Here is a 22,431-nt window from a genome sequence, read left to right on the forward strand (position 1 = left end):
TGCAGTGGCGTGATCTTGGCTCACTGCAGCCTCTGCCTCCCAGGTTCAAGCGATTCTCCTATCTCAGCCTCCCGAGTAGCTGGGATTACAGGAGCGCACCACCACGCCTGGCTAATTCATTTTTTTTGTATTTTTAGTAGATGCGGGGTTTCACCATGTTGGCCAGGATGGTCTCCATCTCTTGACCTTGTGATCTGCCCGCCTCGGCCTCCCAAAGTGCTGGGATTACAGGCGTGAGCCACTGCACCCGGCCAACTTTCTTTCTTTAATTTTTGTAAAGGTAATTTCAACATATTACCACTTCTCCTAATAATAGTGTTTTAACAAATATTAGGCAGCTTCATTTTTGCTTTGAGTTGTGCTTTTAAAAGAACTAAATTAGGTCGCTGGAGATTAAAGCATTTACCATTTAGCAGGCAGGGCCTGTCCAGAGCCCCAGTCGGGAAAACGGGCTAAACAGCTGGCTTAGCTTTAGGACTTCCCTCGTTCCCTCCTCTCCCTCCAGTCCTGGGGACGGAGGTCTGGCGTGGGGATCAGGGTGGCCTCCGCCCACTCCCCTGCGACCCCCAGGCTGGGCTCCAGGAGTCAGCGGGGAGCCCCAGGTGGGGGATCTCTGCGCCCCAGCCCTTCTGGGTCAGGCTAGTTACCTCCCGCGGTGCAGCACGCATCTCTGTCTCCACTGACTTGCAAGGCTAAAAATGTGCAGAACCCAAACCAAAATGTGCCTGCCCATTGTGTTTAAAATACCACTGTTGCAGATGTATTACTGTCTGGCACGGTGGCTCACGCCTGTAATCCCAGCACTTTGGGTGGCCGAGGTGGGTGGATCACGAGGTCAGGAGATCGAGACCATCCTGGCTAACACAGTGAAACCCCATCTCCGCTGAAAATACAAAAAATTAGCCAGGTGTGGTGGCAGGCGCCTGTACTCCCAGCTACTCGGGAGGCCGAGGCAGGAGAATGGTGTGAACCCGGGAGGCGGAGCTTGCAGTGAGCCGAGATCGCAACACTGCACTCCAGCCTGGGCGACAGAGTGAGACCTCCGTCTCAAAAAAAAAAAAAATTAGCTGGGCATGGTGGCACGCATGCCCGTAATCTCACCTACTCAGGCGGCTGAGGCAGGAGAATCACTTGAACCCAGGTGGCAGAGGTTGCGGTGAGCCGAGATCGCGCCATTGCACTCTAACCTGGATGACAGAGCAAGACTCTGTCTCAAAAAACAAACAAACAGAAAAAACAAGTGTATTACCATATGGAAATTATTTTATGACAAAGCATGCATATTGGTTTGCTTAAATAAACCGTTCTGACTAACAGTACTTCAGGCCCAGCATGGAAATTTTGAAAAATCACAGATGATAAAAAACACGAGACTAGCTTGGGTCTCAAGTTTTTCTTCCTTGGAGTTTTGGTTTTTCATGAACTTTCTGGGAAATGAAATTTAGTAGTTTGGGGGCATCGATTAGTTCATAGAGGATGTAAAACGGAGGGATTGGGTTCGACGCCTTAAAAACACGGAAGTTACAGCTGGAAAGAAAATTAGAGGCAATTTTTTTTATTTTTGTATTGAGGGGAAATTCACATAACAAACTCAGCCGTGCTAAGGTGGACAATTCAGTGCCGTTGCATTCATTCCCGATGCGTCGCAGCCACATCCATCTAGTTCCAGAACACTGTCATGCCCTGGGAAGGAAACGCCCTCCCCATCAGCCCTCACTCCCCATTCCTCCCTCCCCCAGCCCGTGGCAACCACCCATCTTTGTGTCTCTGTGGATTCGCCTGTTGTGGACATTTCATAGAAATGGAATCAAGACAACATGTGGACCTTCATGCCTGGCTTGTCCTGCTCAGCATGATGCCTTCAAGGTTCACGCGTGTCGCTGCGTCAGGGCTCACCTCCTCGTGTGCCGAACACCCCATTGTCTGGGTGACCACATGTTGCCCCCCTACTCCTCCACCAATGGGCTTCGTGTTGTCGCCACCTCTTGGCTGCTGTGAACCCGTTTGACTTTTTGAACTAACTTTCAGATTCACTCTTGTAGTTTCAAGGTCGAACCTACAGAAGGCGAAAGAAACCCGCCGGCTCAGGAATTGTGCAACCAGTGGCCTGGCGGCTGCAGGTCCCCCGTGCTGGGGGTCTTGACTTTGATGCTTTCCCAGGTGCCCACTTGTTTCAGGAGCCTCCAACCTGTGAACCTCGCACACACAGCTTGGTGCATGTCAGGTAGAGCCTAGTAGAGCTGTTCTTTTTTGGGGGGGTGGGGGATGGAGTTTCACTCTTGCTGCCCAGGCTGGAGTGCAATGGCGTGATCTCGGCTCACTGCAACCTCCGTCTCCCAGGTTTAAGCAATTAATGGTGAGGGCAGCCACATCATGGAAGTGGTGGGCCCAGCCTGGATAGGAGGGAAGCAGCGAGAGTGTCCGCTGTCTGCGAGGGCCACCCTGGCCCCGGACTCACTCCTGGGTAGGGCCTGTGGGGTCAGACCCCCTCCCTCAGCGAGCCCCAAGGAAGCGTGGGGTCCGACCGCCGCCATCCTGGGACTGAGTTTGGAGGCCTCAGTGCTTGGCTGGCAAGAGCAGCCACCTGGGGACACGGTGATTAATTCAGCATCAGAATGCAAGCGTGGGAGTTTCCAGGAACACTGAGGTTCAGGTCTGGGGGCGGAAGAGAAAAGCAGCTCATTCTCAGAAAGCACTGAGAGGCCGGGCCCTGTGGCTCATGCCTGTAATCCCAGTGCTTTGGGAGGCTGAGGCAGGATTGCTTGAGGCCAGAAGTTCAAGACCAGCCTGGGCAACACAGCAAGACCCCGTCTCTAGAGAACATTTAAAAACTAGCTGTGCGCAGTGGTGCATACCTGCAGTCCCAGCTACCCTGGAGGCTGAGGCGGGAGGATGCTTGAGCCCAGGAGTTGTGGGCTACAATGAGCCGTGATGGCTGCACTGCACTCCAGCCTGGGTGACAGAACGAGACCTCGTCTCTAAAGTAAATACATAAAACCTAAAAACAACGGCCGGTTGTGGTGGCTCACACCTATAATTCTAGCACTTTGGGAGGCTGAGGTGGGCAGATCACAAGATGAGGAGTTCGAGACCAGCCTGGCCAACATGGTGAAACCCCGTCTTACTAGAAATAAAAAAATTAGCTGCGTGTGGTGCTGGGCGCCTGTAGTCCCAGCTCCTCAGGAGGCTGAGGCAGGAGAATGGCATGAACCCAGGAGGCGGAGGTTGCAATGAGCCGAGATCTTGCCACTGCACTCCAGCCCGGGCGACAGAGACTCCGCCTCAAAGAAAAAAAACAAGGAGAGCCCTGCAGGCCCCTCCTTAGGCTGGCCTCAGAGGTCTTCAGTGGCCAGAGGGTGTGAGGATCTGCGGGACGTGCCGACTGGGGCAGCCCCCACCACACCCTGGGATGCACCCTGGCTGGGACCAGTCTCCAAATTCCCCTGCATCCGTCTCAGGCTGGAAAACTCTCCAACAAAGTTGCCTCCAGTCACTGGATGGGAAGCGGCCTCTCAGCTGAGCCGGACCCTCTCTCCTTCAGCTGGTGCTGCAGTGACTCCAAGTGACCAGTGACACCAGGTGTGGCAGCTGCGCACAGCCTTTATCGTGCCGCACTCAAGGGCCCCGGGAAGGGAACCCAGGCAGGGCCCAGTGCCATGGTGGTCTCCACTTCGCCGTGGAGAGAACGGCCAGGTGACCCAACCACAGCGAGGCCTTCAGTGTGTTCCTCACTTCCACCTGTGGCGGTCGCTTCTGGCTGTCACCCTGAGCACATCCATGTGGCCTCTTGGAGTGGCCTCTCCACGTGGCCTAGGCTTCCTGGCAACGCAGCCGCCTCAGGGCAGTGTGACTTCCTGATGGTGGTGACTCAGGACAACAAAAGCGAGAGGCCCTGAGAGTCAGGCGGGCACCACAGGGCCTTGCTGAGGCAGCCGGGGACTCCCGCTCCCTCTGCTGACACCATTGGTGGCCAGTGAGTCAGAGGCAGAGGTGCCAGAGACCCCGCCCGAAGGGAGGAGATCTGAGAGCCTGCAGCCACAGGCTCCTCCAGGACTCGAGCACCGGGGCCGCACAGAGAGCCCTTTCTCTCCTGGGCAGGCCAGGCGGGGATCCCCCAGCGCCCTAACCTGCTCTGTGACCACGGCAATGTGGCCTTGGGGATGTGCCCTGCCTCTCTGGGTTCCAGTGCAGGACTCAGGGCTGGCCACCTGAGAAGCATCTCTAGGACATTCCAAAGCCTGGAACAGGGACAGCATTGTGGCCCTGCTCTGGAAGGCTGCGTGGAAGCCAAGAAGTTGTCCTGGCCTGTCCTGGAGGTGCCTTTGCCCTTGCTTCCTGTCCTTGTCCCCAGGGGCTGCACCCATCCTACTGACTCTGCCAGCAGTGCCAGCCTGGTCCCAGGCACCCTGGAGCTGCTCCATCCCCATTGGGGGCCAAGAGCTGCCGGCCCACACCAGAGGCCCCGGCCACACAGGAGCCACGGGACAGCCGGAAGGGAAGCCAGGAGGCCTTGCTTGGGGAGCTGGGCACACGCCTGGCCTCCCCGTGATGCTCCCCTGGACGACACACGCACGCACACATGCACGCCTGTGCATGCACACAGAGCACACATGCACACACACGCACACCTGTGCATGCAGAGCACACGCACACACACACAAACCTGTGCATGCACACAGCATACACGCATGCACGCCTATGCATGCAGAGCACACATGCACACACATGCACGCCTGTGCATGCACACAGCACACATGCACACACCTGTGCATGCACACACACACATACATGCCTCTGCATGCACACAGCACACACGCACACCTGTGCACGCAGAGCACACACGCACACACACGCACGCCTCTGCATGCAGAGAGCACACACACACACATGCACGCCTGTGCATGCACACAGAGCACACACGCACACCACACCACCACACACACACTTCAAAAACCACACACGGGCGACGCCGCAGGCAGAGTGTACCACAGCCCCGCAGCTGCCACCCCTGCCCTCTGGGAGAGTCCGCTTCCGAGCTCACTTCGAGGAGGATCTTTCTGGCGACAGAGCCAGTGCTGTGGGCGGGAAGGCCCCACCTGACCACACCTCCTGCTCTGTGGCACCTGTGTCCCCGCCACCCCCCAGCCCGAGTAAAATCATTTCTCTAGACTCTGCGGCTGGGCCCTGGAAGTCAGGCTCTCCCCGACCTGCCAGGGCAGTGCCTGCTGCGGCGGAGCCTGGACACCAGGTCTCCTGTCTCCATCCATCTCCACTCAAGGACAGGGGTGCAGGTCCCAGAGCTTTTGTCAGGACTCTGCCAGCTTGCAGAGCCGCTGCGGCCACAGGGCTCATGGTCCCAGGCCTGCTCCACCACGGCCCTCGGCAGTGGCCCTGATCCCTGGCTGTGGCCCTGGTGCCCGAGGCTCACACCAGGGCAGGAACGTGCTCTTGGGTGTGGGTGGGGTCCACTCTGACAGGGACCTGGAAGGGCCCTCACAAGTCTGGGATCCAGGCCCTTGTCATTCAGGAGCCCAGGAGGGGTCAGCCAGGTCCCCAGAGGGGAAGGGGACGTGCCTGGGCTGTGAGGTCCACAGCCTCTGGGTGAAGCAGAGGCCAGCCCAGGATGGGGCTCACAGTTCTCAGGAGCCCGGGAGGTGGCACTGGGAGGGTGGGCATCCCCGCCCACCCCAGAGAGGCCAAGCACAGGGCAGGAGTGTGGCCACACGGCCCAGGGGGCGCATGGCTGCTGAGAGGAAGAGCGCAGTTGCCTGGGGGAGGCTGAGCACGATGCAGGGTGGACAGAGACCCCACTGCTGGGCGAGAGCCAGGCTCATGCCCTGCTGGCGCCAGAGCCTGCCCACAGCCCAGGGGCTGCCTGGGAGGCGCGGGAGGACCACACTTGGGGCCCTACACAGGCTGGGACTCATTCTGAGCCCCTAAGGACAGCTTGTGGGTGAAGGGAGCCCCTCTTGGGAATGTGGAGAAGAGAGTGGGGCACCTGCTGGCCAAAGAAAGCCCTGGGCCCACCCCCAGTTATGTGGGCAGTGACAGTTGGGGACAGGGCACTCAGCCATGCTCCCCGGCGACTGCTGGGTGATGAGCAGCCCAACCGCAGGCCCTGGCCCTGCCAGCCCTGGGCTTAGGCTGAACCCGTCAAAAAGGCCCTGCCTGGCCTTGGAGAGCCCACCGTGCCCTGCGGGGTATGAGGCTGGCAGACCCTTGAGGACCAAGCCAGGAGACATCCCTGGCGGAGACTCGATCCCAGGAAAGTGCCGGGGGTGCACTGGCAGGTTCCCCTGCAGGAAGCCAGCTCTTGGGAGCCCAGAATGCAGGCACCACCCCACAGGGGGCTCCCTCAGACTCCCTCGTGTGCCAAGCCAGTGAGCCCGCCTGGGAGTGGGGCAAGGGTGGACCTCACTTAAGTGCAGCTGTTCAAGGGGAGACCGTCAGGCGGGAAACCAGAGCGAGCTCTGAGAGAACGTCGAAGAGCCACTAACTGCCTCAGACCCCCGCCCCCAGCCCTGCCCAGTCTGCAGCATCCAAACCCTTGTCCCCCAGAGCCACATGGCTGTGTTCTCTGCCTGGGAGTCAGTCCCCAGCCAGGCACCAGGCATCCTCACCTGGAGGCAGCTGTGCCTTCCAAGCCTCCACTGGGCACAGAAAGCTGCTTGCAGGTGCCACACCCGACTCCCGGCCCTAACCCGAGAGAGAGCCCCTGGGTGGGCGGGGGCACCCCTGGGCACATGCTGTCTCTGGGCGGTGCTCTCATGGTTAGGAGGCTCGGCCACATCTGCACATGAGGGTTCCTTCTCTCCAGCCTGTGCTGGGCCCAGAACGCCAACAATGCCCTTCCTCTGGCTGAGGCTGTGCCCAGCGCATGAATGCTCTGCCCACCCCACACCCTGCAAATGGCAGCTCATCCTCCTGCCTTCCCGTGGGACCAAGCATGCCTCCAAGGGCAGCGAAGGGCACGGGGGCGAACCCCACAGCTGGGCTGAGGCTGACCCAGGCAGGCCCCACCTGCTCCCCGGATGCACTGAGGCCCCCGATGGTGCTGTCCCCACACCCCCAGCAGGAATGTCCTCTGGGATTCAGGCTCCTGCGGTCTCTGGCTCCCATGCTCCCTGTCCCAGCCCCACCTCCCACCCGCCTGTTCCAGCGAGTGTTTTCCAAGTGCCTCCACAACCAGCCAGCCCTGAAACGGGACGGAGCAGGGCCCTGACCTCGAGAAGGATGCAGGCTGGTGGACCCCCAGCCTCTCCCACATCCAGTACCTCCCGGAGCCCCCCAGTCCCCACCAGCTGACAGTGAGCCCCACCCCTGCCTTCAGACTCCTCACCCGGGGTCCCACCGCCATGCCAGCTCGCTGTAGTGGCCCAAGTGGCTGGGCCACCTCTCTCTGCACCTGGGGGGAGGAATCCCCTGCTTGTGTGGACGGCGCCTACAGTCGGCACAGCAATGTCCTGACCCCACGATCTCAGGGGAAGTCACCCCTCCAGCAGCTGAGCCACGCTGTCCTGGAATCTCAGCATGATCCCACTCCACGAGGAAACGCATGTGTCATCGCCAAGCTCGGCCACCGGAGCAGGAGGGAATGCTGGCCAAGTGAGCCATCTAACTCCCTCCACCTTCCCTGGCACACAGGTGACCTGCCTCGGCATCACACCCTGGTCTAGAGCCCTGAGTATGGCCACAGGGCACTGCCCAGGGGTCCTGCTCCACAGGACCCCGGAAGAAGAAAAACGGCTTAGCAGAAGCTCAAAATGACACAGGTGGCCCTTATCTCAACAGAGCAATGTGCACCGGAACATCTGTGTACGACCCAGCGTCCCCGACCCAGCACCCACGCCCCCCAGAGCCAGGCAGCCTGGCCCCATGGGCTGAGAAGCCACTTGGCCCTCAGCAGCTGGAACACAACTGCGCTCAGGGCCAGGCTCGGCCAGCTGCCTGCCCCTAGTTCATGGGCCACTGTGGCGAAGGCACACATGGACAGCAGCGTTACTGGTCATGGAACTGAAGTCCACGTAAACGAAGAATTTCTAGAGTTTGCCGGCCATTTCATTTCACCTTGTAAGATACAACCTCAGCCCTAAAATACGCGTGCCAGACACAGGCTGTGTTCACAGGGATGGTGCCTCGCCCATGTGTGCGCTGATGGCCTGGCCCAGAGAAGCGGCAGGACTGCAACCAGGCCCAGAGCACTCCCCACCTCCCCAGCAGCCGCTGCAGGAGCAGAAACCACATTCACCAGGGCAGCTGCGACGTGCTCCAGAACCCATCTACGGACGGCCCGCAGCCCCTGGGAAGGCCTCGGCGGCACGTGGTGTTTACTCACCCAGAACTCCACAACTGCATGCAAACCGCGACCAGGTTAAAACGTGGATCCACGCTCACCAGAGGACAGGGCTGGGTGAGAACGCGCATTCCCGACCTCAGGGCCTCTGGGGACTGAAAGGCGGGCGCGGCAGAACACGGGGCTAGCGGAGGAGGCGCACCTGGAGAAGCTGCATGTGCAGGACCAGCCAACGGGAGCGAACGCAGCATCTCCGAGGAAAGGCACTGGCACACACTTCCCTCCTCATGGCCACATCAGGCAGGTGTTGGTGTGGCCCCTCGCCCACCTTGTGGACGCTCAGGCCACAGCAAGATGAGCCAGGCAGCCAGCGAACCCGTGGAAAGCACGGCTCCACAGCCCGCAGGAGGCGGGCTGAGGACACACCTGTCCAGAGGTTCCTCGGAAGGAATTTCCCAACTTTGACTCTTAAACTCGCTGAGGAGAACATTCTCTTCCGACTCACAAGTTTGCCAAAAGAGGATGGCGGGCAAGGAGGGCACTGTGGCTGGCTAGACCCTGCTGACGTGGGGCGGGCCGAGGGCCTGTGGCCTGGCAGCAGGGTAGTAGACAGGCATCTTTTTTTTTTTTGAGACTCCGTCTCAAAAAGAAGTGAGATTCGCTACTTTTTTTTTTTTTTTTGAGACGGAGTCTTGCTCTGTCGCCCAGGCTGGAGTGCAGTGGCGCGATCTTGGCTCACTGCAAGCTCCGCCTCCCGAATTCACACCGTTCTCCTGCCTCAGTCTCCCAAGTAGCTGGGACTACAGGCACCCGCCACCACACCCGGCTAATTTTTTGTATTTTTAGTAGAGACGGGGTTTCACCGTGTTAGCCAGGATGATCTTGATCTCCTGACCTCGTGATCCGCCTGCCTCGGTCCCCCAAAGTGCTGGGATTACAGGTGTGAGCCACCGCGCCCGGCCGAGATTCATTACTTTTGAAAAGCATTTTTAATATTTCTGCCCAAAGAGTTTAAATTAACTTTAGTTTTAAATCTAAATCTCAAAAACAATGAAAAGACCTAGATGTGTGGAGAGAAACATTTTCCGAAAACATTCTTACTCAGCTACAATGCAAGCAGAGTTCAGAAGGGGAGGGGGCTGGTTCAGAAGAGAAGTTCAAAACAAACAGCTCGGAACTGACTGCTTCCAGCAACAATAATGAGCAGAGTTCACAAAAAACAAAATAAATTCATTTTCTCATTTTAAGACACCGGTCATGTTTTTTAAAATGAAAAAAAAGGAGGAAGAGGCCAGAGGTAGGCGGAGGCAGCCGTGCTTGGGCTCAGGACCTGTGTCCCAGGAATACGGGCTCAGCTCCAGTCCCTTAAACCCAATACAACACGAGGCTTTGCCAACCAAACATGGCCACAAGGCCTCCCACATGCTGCGGTGGCCCCGGTGCCCGCCCCGGGTCAGAGCAGCCGGCACGGAGCCGCGGGGATGTGGCCTCTCGGGGACGCACGGGTTTCTTGTGCGGCACCAAGAAAAGACGAAGACAGGAAATAGGAAAAGGGACTTTATTAAAGAAAAGTCATCTGTGAGTGACTAGTTAAATTAGCATGCTTGACATTAACTCTGGGTTGAAACCTACCTCCGTCAAATAACAAGTGGACTCTCCAAGCAAATGTCTACACGGCAATTCAAGCAGCAACTCAAGAGCCCAGAGGAGCACTGGAGACGAGGCCATCACTCCACTTCCCAGTGCGACAACCACTTTTTTGTAAACACCTGTCAGATGCTAAAAATACGGCCTTACACACTACCGTCACCAAAGTTTATAAGCAATAAGATCAGAGAGCAGGAGCAGCTGCAGCACCTCTAACAGTCCAGGGCTGAGGCGCTGAAGGTGAGTTTCCAGGTGAGGTCCACTCTGCCCGGTCTCGGGCCGCACCAGGGGGCTGCTGTGGCCTGATAGCCGAGTGGAACAACGCCACCTACGTGCGATTTAGTGTCTGGAAGATTCTAGAGATCTGCAGCATGACAGGCCCCGTTTCTGGATCATTCATCCACTGGGTGCTGTTCAGTGGGTTCTCCAGCATGTCTTCAAATGCTGCAGGGAAAACAGAGCCAGCCTGAGTGCCCACGCCCCCACTCAGCCCACAGGCACAGGCGTGACTTTCCTCTTCGGCAGCTTCCTAATGAAGAGGGTGCGTCTCCAATACAAAGGCCACACAGAGCTCACTGCTAAGTGTGCACTCTCAGGCTGAAACCCACCCAACTCCATCGGATGCACCCATCAAATCAGATCTGATCACAGAGAGTCATGCACTCAATTCTGGCAGGTGGGCAGTGTGCCTGTGCGTGCTCATGGCACCCCCACTCTCGGCAGCTGTCTGGCAGCCGCCAGGGCTCAAAAATCATCTTCCCCAACAACTCCACTTCCAATCCCACCCCGAGAAGGTCAGCAGATGCAGAAAGGACACACACAGACACTGTTGCAAAGTTAACAACAAACTGGAAAAACGTAATGCTCAGCCTTCAGAAAATTCCTTCTTCAAAAAACCAGCACATTAAAAATGCAACACAGCACTTCTTCAAAATGAAAACTTGGGTTTTAACAGCTTTACAAAACTGTTTCCCCAAAACAGGTGGCTTTTAGCAAAAAGCTCTCTGTTCCACCCACTGTGAAGGAGCACGCGTTCTGCCAGCCCCTCTGCCAGGATCGATGGCTCCATGCTGACCTGACACACATGGACGCACTTCAGCATAAGTGGCCCCAGGTCTACAGGCTCCAGGGACAGTGCTCACTACAGAATTCACAGCCATTCACGGCCCAGTAGCCCATGGCTGAGCACAGAGCTCAGAGTGAACCCAACTTGGCTCTGTTCATGATTGGACAATCCCCAGGCCTTAAAACAATCCTCTGGTGTTCTGATTAAAAGTCTCCAAAAACCACTTTAAAATCTCAGAAAAAGCCAGGCACGGTGGCTCATGCCTGTAATTCCAACACTTTGGGAGGCCGAAGCAGGCGGATCATGAGGTCAGGAGATCGAGACCATCCTGGCTAATACGGTAAAACCCTGTCTCTACTAAAAATATAAAAAATTAGCTGGGCGTGGTGGCAGGCGCCTATAATCCCAGCTACTCGGAAGGCTGAGGCAGGAGAATAGCATGAACCAGGGAGGCGGAGCTGGCAGTGAGCCGAGATTGCGCCACTGCACTCCAGCCTGGGCAGCAGAGTGAGACTCCGTCTCAAAAAATAAAAATAAAAATCCCAGAAAAAGACTCAGAAAGAACAAACTATAAGGTGCGAAACAGCTGTTTCACACACAGGGCGGGGAACTTAATTTCCCATTTCCTCTCAATAAACAGCAAAATAAATTCTGGAAGGATGAAAGAGTTGAACAAAAAGATAAAGAGTTAAATATGAAAAACCACACAGATGATTATTTATCTGAGGAAGGACTTTCCTTTTTGAATTTAATTTTTTTTTGAGACAGCGACTTGCTTTGTTGCCCAGGCTGGAGTGCAGTGGAGTGATCATGGCTCACTGCAGCCTTGAACTCCCAGACTCAATGATCCTCCCACCTCAGTCCCCTGAGTAGCAGGGACTACAGGTACGTGTGCCACCACTCCTGGCTGATTTTGTTTTTTTGTTTGTTTGCTTTTTTAGTAGAGAGGAGGTCCTGCTATGTTACCCAGGCTGGTCTCGAACTCCTGAGCTCAAGTGATCCTCTTGCCTCAACCTCCCAAAGTGCTACAATTACAGGCATGAGCCACCATGCCCAACCTGAGGAAGGACTGTCTTCTGTATATCCTAACTTCTGTATGTCAGAAAATGCCACACAAAATTAGAGAGCAAAAACAGTTTACAACATTCAACAAAGGAAGATGTGCCTAATATCCAAGAAGCTATTAAGGAAGCTCTAGGATTAATATTGCAATTGAAAAACACATGTGCCAGGCACAATGGCTCTCGCCTACAATCCCAGCACTCTAGAAGGCAGAGGTGGGGGGAGCGCTTGAAGCCAGGAGTTCAAGACTAGCCTGAGCAAAAAAACGAGACCCCATCTCAACAACAACAAAAAAAATAGCTGGGCATGGTCGTGCATGCCTGTAGTCATAACTACCCATGAGGATGACTTGAGCCCAGGAGGTCAAGGCTGCAGTAAGCTGTGATTGTACCACTGCACTCCAGCCTGGGTGACAGATCAAGACCCTGTCTCCATAAAAAGAAGGAAAACAAATAGATGACACGCATAGACAGTATGTAAAAGAAGAAATGCAATGGCCAACAGAAAAGTATTCAACATTGCTAATAACCAAAAGGAATGCAAGTGGCCAGGCGCAGTAGCTCAAGCCTGTAATCCCAGCACTTTGGGAGGCCGAGACGGGCGGATCACGAGGTCAGGAGATCAAGACCATCCTGGCTAACACGGTGAAACCCTGTCTCTACTAAAAATACAAAAAATTAGCCGGGCACGGTGGCGGGCACCTGTAGTCCCAGCTACTCAGGAGGCTGAGGCAGGAGAATGGCGTGAACCCGGTAGGCGGAGCTTGCAGTGAGCTGAGATCGTGCCACTGCACTCCAGCCTGGGTGACAGAGCGAGATTCCATCTCAAAAAAAAAAAAAAAAAGAGGAATACAAGTTAAAACAATGAAGGTCTTGTCTATAATATGGAGGTGGGCAAGTGTGTGTGCTGGGGGCAGATCTTGCATGGACAGTGGCGCCATCACTGCACTCTAGCCTGGGTGACAGAGAAAGAGCCTATTTCTATTAGGAAAAAAAAAAGAAAAAGTTATTGGACAGACCCCAAGGCAGCACACACTAACATCCTAAGGTATACAAACAGCTGGAGAGCTAGGAGGAATATGCTTTCAGTGTGAAAGGAATCACTAAGAATAAAAATAAACTCACAAAAGACCATTCTCAAGTTTTAGAATTTGGGTACAAAGAAGATCCCTACCTCACACCACACACATACTTCTAGGTAGATTATGGACTTAAATTAAGAGAAACTTTTAACATTTTTGGAAAAAAAAATAAAAGGAAAACGTGTTTCTGACTTTCGGATAGGAGGGTTTTCCTTTTTCTTTTTTTTTTTTTTGAGGTGGAGTCTTGCTCTGACGCCCAGGCTAGAGTGCAGTGGCACGATCTCGGCTCACTGCAACCTCCGCCCCCCAGGTTTAAGCAATTCTCTGCCTCAGCTCCAGAGTAGCTGGGATTACAGGTGCATACCACCATGCCCAACTAATTTTTTGTATTTTTAGTAAAGACAGCGTTTCACCATCTTGGCCAGGCTGGTCTTGAACTCCTGACCTCGTGATCCACCTGCCTCAGCCTCCCAAAGTGCTGGGATTACAGGCGTGAGCCACCACGCCCAGCCATGGAGGGTTTTCTTTAAAGGTTCACATCTTAAAAAAAATACAGACACACTGAAGGACATCAAAACACGGGATTCTGCCCATCAGTGTGAGGAAATAAACCAGAAACTGAACAACGGCATCTGCAACACAAATAATGGGAAAAGGGTCAGCATCCAGGAGGTGAGGACCTTTCTGAATGAATAAGAAAACAATCCAAGAGAAAAGCAGGCCAAACGCTGAGCGGAAGGTCTCTCACAGCCAAGGTTCTACAGGCGGCCAATACGCTTCTGAAAGAAGGCCAGCCTTCAAGATCAGGGCACGGCCATCGCAGCTCCAGAGACACTTCCAGCCTGCTCGGGTGGCAAAGGCCCTCCCAACATCCAGGAACTCAGCTCCTGGGGACCAACAGGTCTGTAATCCCAGCACTTAGGGAGGCTGAGGCAGGTGGATCACGAGGTCAGGAGTTCGAGACCAGCCTGGCAAACATGGTGAAAGCCGTCTCTACTAAAATACGAAAAATTAGCCAGGCGTGGTAGTGCACGCCTGTAATCCCAGGTACTCAGGAGGCTGAGGCAGGAGAATTGCTTGAACCTGGGAGGCGGAGGTTGCAGTGGGCCGAGATCATGCCATTGCACTCCAGCCTGGGTGACAAGGCGAGACTCTGTCTCAAAAAAAAAAAAAAAAAAAAATCAGGAGTGGCACCACATGTAGACAACCCAACGAGCCCTGGGTTCCCAGTGCCTTCCATCAAGAAAATACTCCACAACCCCCACAAAGAACGCAGTCAGTCACAGAGGCCTGCTTAAAACATGATTCTACTTACACAAAGGCAGCAGCAAATGAGAGATTGTTTAAGGAGACACAAATACGGCAAAACTCTACCGGGAAGCAGAGAGGTAAGCCGCGGCCACGGCGACGGCCACACCGGAGGGAGGGATGAGGTGCATAGGGGAGGGGCACCCCAGGCCCAAAGCTGAATAGTAGATACATGGCTATTAGTTTTATTCTTCTTTAAAGTTACATCATCATATACACTTTTGTATGTACGTATCTCACAATAAAAATAAACCATTGCCATCGAAGACCCTGACGAGTAGTAAGAGCAAAAGCCCAAACCACACCTTGTCCTCCCGTGAGTTCCTAAGCTGCTGGCGCAGTCTCCACCCCGCTGGCCCTCGGAAAGCCACTGGCACTGGTTTTCTGAGGCCTATGTCAGGGTCATCGCGCAGGAGACAGTCACACCACGATCAGAACCTGACCTGCGGGCCCCACAGTGACGTAGCGGGACTACACCCGCAGGATGCCAACCTGCATGGCAGGACGTGCTGCCAGCGCACGGCGATCCTCAGCGCTGGATCCTCCGTATCGCCTCCGCAGCACCTATTTGTCCTGCAAGGGAACCAGCCAGCCTCCCCGACCCGAGACTTAGCATAAAGAAGGCGCACATACCTAGCAATGTTTTCGGGTTGGTCAGGCCCAGCTGCACCACCGGGTTATCCAGGATGGCCTGAAAGAGAGGACTGTCGGGGTCGATGCCCTTGTCCAGCTCCTCCGGAGAGGGCTTCCGGTCCCCCAGCAGCCACTCGCACTGCAAAGCCAAGAGCACCAATACCACTGTTAGCGCCTTCAGTGCCTCCGCAAGACGCCACCAGCAGCAGGCATGACAGCTCCTGCACCTTTCTGTGAGTTCCTGTTGAGCCCCCAGGGCTGATCTCCCTGGAAGGGACTCTACCGTGAAGACAAACGCAGTCTGGATTCACTGCCGTGCGTGTCAGACCAGGCCAGAGAAGGAAGAGCTAGTCCGCTTTTCTCTGCAGACCCTGGTGTCGCAGGGATCACTGACTGCTGCCGCTTCCCCACTTACCTGGGCCAGTGTGGCCCACCCAGGAGTGTTGGGAAGGTGATTAACAAATGTACCAAGTGCCCAGCTTGCCTGTGGTCCTGTTATGGGCAGTCAGCAGTGCTGGAGCCATGAGGACACAGGCTCCTCATCTCTGTCTTGGAGGTGTGAGCCACGAACTCCACTGGCACGGGGGATGGTGGGGGGGGGATGTGGGCCACCACAGGGACCTCCCCAGGCACAGCTCCATCAGCCCAGCTGGCACACGGGCACAGGACGGGAATCATTCTTGAGTCAGTTTAATCAGAAAAATGGGCTGGGAGTGGTGGCTCATGCATGTAATCCCAGCACTTTGGAAGCCAAAGCAGGAGGATCGATTGAAGCCAGGAGTTCAAGATCAGCCTGGGCAACAAAGGGAGATCTTGTCTCTAAAAAACTAATTAGCCGGGCATAGTGGTGCATGCCTGTGGTCCCAGCTACTCAGGAGGCTGAGGCAGGAGGATCGCTTGGGCCCAGGAGGTCGAGGCTGCAGTGAGTGTGATCACACCGCTGCACTCCAGCCTGGGGGACAGAGTGAGACCCTGACTCCAAAAAAATTAAAAAAAAAAAAAAATGAACAAATTACCCATCCATAAAATATGTACATATAAGGCACCCTTTTAAAAACCTAGAATTCCGTATTTTTAAATTTTTATACTGTTTGAGCCATCTATCCAATTGTCTCACTTTAAAAGCCACATAGCCGGCTGCATGTGAAAGTAGGCAAACACACGGCCTCCACCACGCCCGGGGCGCTCACGAGTGAGGCTCCCAGCACTCGCCCAGCCTGACACACTCACTCACCACAGCCCACACTCACAGCCCACACTCACTCACCACAGCCCACACTCACTCAGCCCACACTCACTCATCACAGCCCCCACTCACTCACCACAGCCCACACTCACCACAGCCCACACTCACTCACCACAGCCCACACTCACTCACCACAGCCCACACTTACCACAGCCCACACTCACTCACCACAGCCCACACTCACTCACCACAGCCCAACACTCACCGCGGCATTCTGCTGGTTGTTGTTCACTCTGAGGGCATCTATCACCTCTTTCTCGTCGAACCCCATCTCCATCAGGGAAATGACGGCCTAGAGGACAGCACAGCCGTTAGCTCGCTGGGGGCGGCAGGAGGCCGAGGAACCAGTGACCTGCGTGCAGAGGGGCCCGCTCCCCGCACCCTAGCGGAGGGTGCTCCCAACAGCACTGAGGACGCTGTCCGTCCACGTTCTTTCCTCACAGCTCTGCTAAAACAGATCTTGGTTTTCAGCATCCTAAAGCCGAGGAAGTGCAGGGATGACTGTAGTTAGCAGAGCCGGGGGGCAGTGCAGCTCCCAGGCTTGTCTTCAGGGAGCCACAGGTTGTGACAGGTAGAAACGCATCGCTTATGTGGACACGAGGCAGTCAGGCCAACTTCAGACCCTTTCAGGTTTGTCCCGATGACTGTGTGGATAAGACTGTCTCGGCAGCCACCGCAGGTTTACCCCAGAGGGCCTTGTTACCCAAAGAGAAGTGGCATTAGGGAAAGGCCACGTCAGTAAGTGCAATCTCAACGGAAACAAAAATGCCATTGTAACCTGTGAAAAAAGGTTTTATTCAGATTTTATCTTAGAAAAAAAAAAATCCTAGGGCCGGGCGCGGTGGCTCACACCTGTAATCCCAGCACTTTGGGAGGCCGAGGCAGGCGGATCACCAGGTCAGGAGATCAAGACCATCTTGGCTAACACGGTGAAACCCCGTCTCTACTAAAAATACAAAAAAATTAGCTGGGCGTGGTGGCAGGCGCCTGTAGTCCCAGCTACTCGGGAGGCTGAGGCAGGAGAATGGCATGAACCTGGAAGGCGGAGCTTGCAGTGAGCCAAGATCGCGCCACTGCACTGCAGCCTGGGCGACAGAGCGAGACTCCATCTCAAAAAAAAAAAAAAAAAATCCTAAAACTAATTTTTTAACTTTTAATATTGAACAAAACTTAAGCTACAACTGAACATATGCTAATTCGTTTTTGGGGAAGGACATACATTTTCTGGACACAATTCATGTAACAAGATAATACATCCTCTACTCTGGAGATTTATACCACAATGTTTAAAGGGGTCCATTTTGAAAAAATATAAATAAGTAAGATGAAGGCTTCATCAAAATTTCAAGGGCCTCTCCTAATCCCTGAAAGGTCAGATCCCACTCTCTTGAAGCCCCCAGAGTCCTCTCCATCTTTGGCAGTTTTCCGGCCACCATAAGGTGGTCTAGGGGTGCCAGCCCCACACAGCTCCCAGCACCACCCAGGCTGACTTCATGCAGCACTGCACCCCGCGGACGGTGCACGTCCACAGCCAGTCTGGACTGCACCATCAGATGCTTCCAAGAGAACCTGGCAGAAAAAGACTTCAGCTGGGGTGGAGCTCAGGAAGGATGCTGGCTAGAGCTAAACTGTGTGCATGATCAGGTCAAAAGTCCCAGCCGGGAGCAGTGGCTCACGCCTGTAATCCCAGCACTTTGGGAGGCCGGGGTGGGAGGATCACTTGAGGTCAGGAGTTTGAGACCAGCCTGGCCAACATGGGAAAACCCCATCTCTACTAAAAATACAAAAAGTAGCTGGGCGTGGTGGCGGGCACCTGTAATCCCAGCTACTCGGGAGCCTGAGGCAGGAGAATCGCTTGAACCTGGGAAGTGGAGGTTGCAGTGAGCCAAGATCGCACCACTGTACTCCAGCCTGGGCGACACAGTGAGACTCCATCTCAAAAAAGAAAAAACTCTGTATTTTCTATTTATGGTCCATCACAATTGCCTTCCTGAGCCACACCCTAATCCAGGAGCTCCAACAATGAACTCTGGAAGAACCCACCGCACAATATTTTGATATCAAAGTCATACAGAATAGCCTGGAATCTACTGAATTCAAGGACAGGATGCCCTCCTCACTAGCTTCAATAGGAAGTACTGTCGCTCATTTCTACCTCAGCCCAGGAAATGATGCCCCAGTACTCCCAAGGCAACACCTGGCAGTCCCTGCCCTCCCTCCCAGCCCATGGGGGCAAAGACTTGCTTGTGGGCAATGGGAGAGGGGCCTTGCGCTCACGGGCTGCAGGACGTCGGGCCCTGCCAGCTCTGCCCCCGGACAGCAGGCATCCTGTCTACCACTGGGAAGGGAGGGGCAGCAGGAAATCTGTTTTGGCCTCAAGTCAGAGCTCTCCAATCCTTTCTCAGTAACAAAGCTAGTATCTCGATCCCTACTGGACGACTGCCTGATCTCATGACTTGTACAGAAACCAAAGGCTAGGAGGACTGATGGGCTGGCCCCTCAAGCCTTGACCACCTTGTGATGATTTTCATCAAAGAAGACATTCTACGGAATGTTGTTCTGACACAGAGAGATGACGGGAGGGAATGGCAATGGGGAAGATCTTAGGAAAACGAGCACGTTAAGATTGTTAAGAATGAGCATCCATATTTAACAAAAAGGCTTAAGATGGCAAGAAAGTATATGACTAACAACCTCCAAGAGACCGTGCAGGACCACAACACACGAGAGTGCGAAGTCCAACCTCAGAGCACAAGGGACCCAGCTGGAGAGTGACTGCTCCACTTGGACAGGCTTCCAGGATCAGATGTAAACTTGGCTCCCTAGGAGACAAGCACAACGAGACAAACTTCCTGCTAAACCTAGAAATGCTAGATGAAAATAAAACAAAAATGCTTTTAGGTTAGGCACAATGGCTCATGCCTGTAATTCCAGCGCTTTGGGAGGCCAAGGCAGGAGGATCACTTGAGGCCAGGAGTTCAACACCAGCCTGGGCAACACAGGGAGATCCCTATCTGTACAAAATTTTAAAAAATAAAAAATTAGCCCTGTGTGGTGGTGCGTGCCTGTAAGAGCTACTCAGGAGGCTGAAGTAGCATCATTTGAGCCCAGGAGGTCAAGGCTGCAGTGAGCCATGATTGTGCCACCGCCACTCCAGCCTGGGTGACAGAGTGAAACTGTCTCAAAAAAAAAAAAAAAAAGAGAAACTTTTACATGCAGAGCTAACCTCACAAGAAAGGGATATCCACAAGTGAGAAACCCAAGAAGGAAGAGACAGAAAGCTAGCCCTGGGAGAGGGTGTGCGCAGGGGCTGCCCTGGGAGGGCGGGGTCTGATGTCTACACACAGACAGAACGTGCGCCTTGGGCCCATGGGAGGTAGGGAGTGGGAACTGAGACCCTTACTTAAAACAGGACCCTGAAAAGATGAGAAAATAGACTAGAAAAGCATTTGTCTCAATGGGATCTAACTAAAGAGCTTCTGCACAGCAAAAGAAACTACCCTCAGAGTGAACAGACAACCTACAGAAGGGAACGTTTTTGCAATCTATTCACCTGACAAAGGTCTAATATCCAGAATCTACATGGAATAAACAAATTTACAAGAAAAAAACAACCCCATTAAAAAGTGGGCAAAGGACATGATCAGACTCTTCTCAAAAGAAGACAGTTGGCCGGGCGCAGTGTCTCACACCTGTAATCCCAGCACTTTGGGAGGCCGAGGCGGGCAGATCGCTTGAGGTCAGGAGTTTGAGACGAGCCTGGCCAACATGGTGAAACCCTGTCTCCACTAAAAGTACAAAAATTAGCTGGGCGTGGTGGGTGTGTGCCTGTAGTCCCAGCTACTCAGGAGGCTGAGGCAGGAAGAATCCAGCCTGGGCGACAGAGCAAGGCTCAACATCACTGATCATTAGAGAAATGCAAATCAAAACCACAATGAGATACCATCTCATGCCAATCAGAATGATGATTATTAAAAAGTCAAGAAACAACAGCTGCTGGTGAGGCTGTGGAGAAATAGGAACGCTTTTACATTGCTGGTGGGAATGTAAATTAGTTCAACCACTGTGGAAGACATGTGGTGATTCCTCAAAGACCTAGAAACAGAAATACCATTTGTCCCTGCAATTCCATTACTGGGTATATACCCAAAGGAATAGAAATCATTCTGTTATAAAGATATGTGCACACGTATGTTCACTGCAGCACTACTCACAATAGCAAAGACATAGAATCAACTCAAATGCCCACGGATAAGAAAAGAAACCGGATAGACTGAATAAAGAAAATGTGGGATATATACACCATGGAATACTATGCAGCCATAAAAAGGAACGAGATCACGTCCTTTGCAGGGTCATGGATGAAGCTGGAAGCCACTGTCCTCAGCAAACTAACACAGGAACAAAAAACCAAGCCCCTCATGTTCTCACTTATAAGTGGGAGCTGAAAAATGAGAACACATGGACACAGTGAGGGGAACATCACACACCGGGGCCCATCAGGGGGTCTGGGGGAGGGAGAGCATCATGAAAAATAGCTAGTGCATGCTGGGCTTCATACCTAGGTGATGGGCTGACACGTGCAGCAAACCACCATGGCACATGTTTACCTATGTAACAAACCTGCACATCCTGCATATGTATCCCAGAACTTAACATTAAATTAAATTTTAAAAGAAACAAAGAAAAGCATTTGTCTCCACGGAACCCTGTGCAGGGAAGACCTGAGCTGCGAAGCCGGGGGTTACACTGCGGGACATGGTGGGGCAGGGGCCCCACTCATCACCAGCAGAAGCAAACTCAGAATCACCCCAGGTGGATGTCTACAGCCTGGCCACATGGAACTCCATGGAAAACACGAGCTCCGCAGGTGAGGCCACAGCACAATGTCACACACCCCAAGGAAACGATCAGTGCCACACGAGACGACAGCATGCAGATGGAGCAGATCTGCCATCTGAGCATGTCGGAGACAGACAGAAACCTCCAAGGAGGAAGTAAAACCCGAATCAAAGAACAGGAGAGAGAAGGAAGAATGGGGAGATGAGGCGCGGGCGAGGAAGGTCCACACACACAGGCGCAGGGACCCTTCAGCCCTGCAGACTGTGCCATGGAGGCGGCTGGCAGCCTGAGCGGCCCCTCGCTCATGGACACCCCCGACGGCAAATGACCCTCCCGGTCTCTGGGCAGGGCCCCCACCCCGCAGAGAGGCTGCCGAACAGGGGGGGCTTGTGGATGAGTGGTCAGAAGGAACTGTAAAATATCAAGTTTTTCAAAAGGTGACGAATGTGGCAACACAGAGGAAACTGGGGCGCCTGGATTCAAGCCAGGATAACTTACAGGTGTGCTCAGAAACTCGGGCCACGGTCCCCAGGCCCACCGCCCCCAGGCTCGCCATTTCCCAGGCCCACCTGTAAACCCCTTCCCCAGCTTCTCTCTCTCCTGGGACAGGAGCCAGCTCAGCCCAAGGTCAGCCATGCAGCCCCAGCTTCCTTTCCATGGCGCCACCTCAAGGGAAGACACAGCGACTCTGCCTGGCGACAGGTCTAGTAACACATACCCGAGCATCAGCCCGAAACTCCCTTTTCCTCCGGATCTTCTTGAAGATTTCCGTCAGCTCATCTCTGGCCTCCTCATCGGTGGCGCTGGCTCCCGCGGCAGCCTCGGAGGCAGCTGCTGTGGCCCCCTCGGCCTCTGGGGGAGCTTGGCCAGGAAGAGGCGTGTCTATGGTCGGGTCTTCTGCGTGTTCAATTAGCCACTCCATGGCCTGAGGCACCGACATGCTGCAAGGCAAGAGACTCTTTCCAACATCCCCAGACTAACGGACCAGGGCCTTCGCCTCCTGTCCATTCCCAAGAAGAGCCTCTGCTATGGTAGTGACTTCTCCAGCATCAGCTGGTGACCCTTATAACAAGAACCTGAATGAACACAGGTGCGACGGAAGCGCTGGTCCTTGCCTCAGACTACCTTGAGACCCTGGGCAGAATCAGAAGCCCATGTCTAAGGAGAGGCAAGCGGACCCAGAGATATCTGCTGAGGGCTTAGATAGGGACCACAGGGGGAACTGCCCCCGGCTGCCCCTGGATCTCGGATTA

General features: G+C 54.3%; 1 protein-coding gene across 1 annotated transcript in view, besides 4 other annotated features; it reads right to left on the bottom strand.

Moving 5' to 3' along the window:
* Nucleotides 2,664-2,743: an enhancer, noted in NCBI's record as "active region_29293". NCBI's record gives its function as "activates an Ori minimal core promoter by ATAC-STARR-seq in GM12878 lymphoblastoid cells {active_cell/tissue: GM12878}" and the evidence as "EXISTENCE:reporter gene assay evidence [ECO:0000049][PMID:35858748]".
* Nucleotides 3,780-3,829: an enhancer, noted in NCBI's record as "active region_29294". NCBI's record gives its function as "activates an Ori minimal core promoter by ATAC-STARR-seq in GM12878 lymphoblastoid cells {active_cell/tissue: GM12878}" and the evidence as "EXISTENCE:reporter gene assay evidence [ECO:0000049][PMID:35858748]".
* Nucleotides 8,580-9,079: an enhancer, noted in NCBI's record as "H3K4me1 hESC enhancer chr9:138823557-138824056 (GRCh37/hg19 assembly coordinates)". NCBI's record gives its function as "activates a minimal SCP1, AML or CMV promoter by ChIP-STARR-seq in naive H9 embryonic stem cells {active_cell/tissue: H9 hESC(naive)}" and the evidence as "EXISTENCE:reporter gene assay evidence [ECO:0000049][PMID:30033119]".
* Nucleotides 9,838-22,431, bottom strand: part of UBAC1 (UBA domain containing 1) — a 28,405-nt gene continuing 15,811 nt past the window's right edge. The window contains exons 7-10 of the mRNA NM_016172.3: nt 21,897-22,119; nt 16,542-16,628; nt 15,091-15,229; nt 9,838-10,384 (exon numbers count right to left, since the gene is read on the bottom strand). Of these exons, the coding sequence (NP_057256.2) occupies nt 10,269-10,384; nt 15,091-15,229; nt 16,542-16,628; nt 21,897-22,119 (565 nt within the window). The 3' untranslated portion in view covers nt 9,838-10,268. The remainder of the gene's footprint in view (nt 10,385-15,090; nt 15,230-16,541; nt 16,629-21,896; nt 22,120-22,431) is intronic.
* Nucleotides 18,592-18,886: a silencer, noted in NCBI's record as "tiled region #7357; K562 Repressive non-DNase unmatched - State 17:Gen3'". NCBI's record gives its function as "represses a minimal TATA promoter and a strong SV40 promoter by Sharpr-MPRA in K562 cells {active_cell/tissue: K562}" and the evidence as "EXISTENCE:reporter gene assay evidence [ECO:0000049][PMID:27701403]".

Source organism: Homo sapiens, chromosome 9 (genome assembly GCF_000001405.40).
Source record: "Homo sapiens chromosome 9, GRCh38.p14 Primary Assembly".
Classification (NCBI taxonomy): Eukaryota; Metazoa; Chordata; class Mammalia; order Primates; family Hominidae; genus Homo; species Homo sapiens.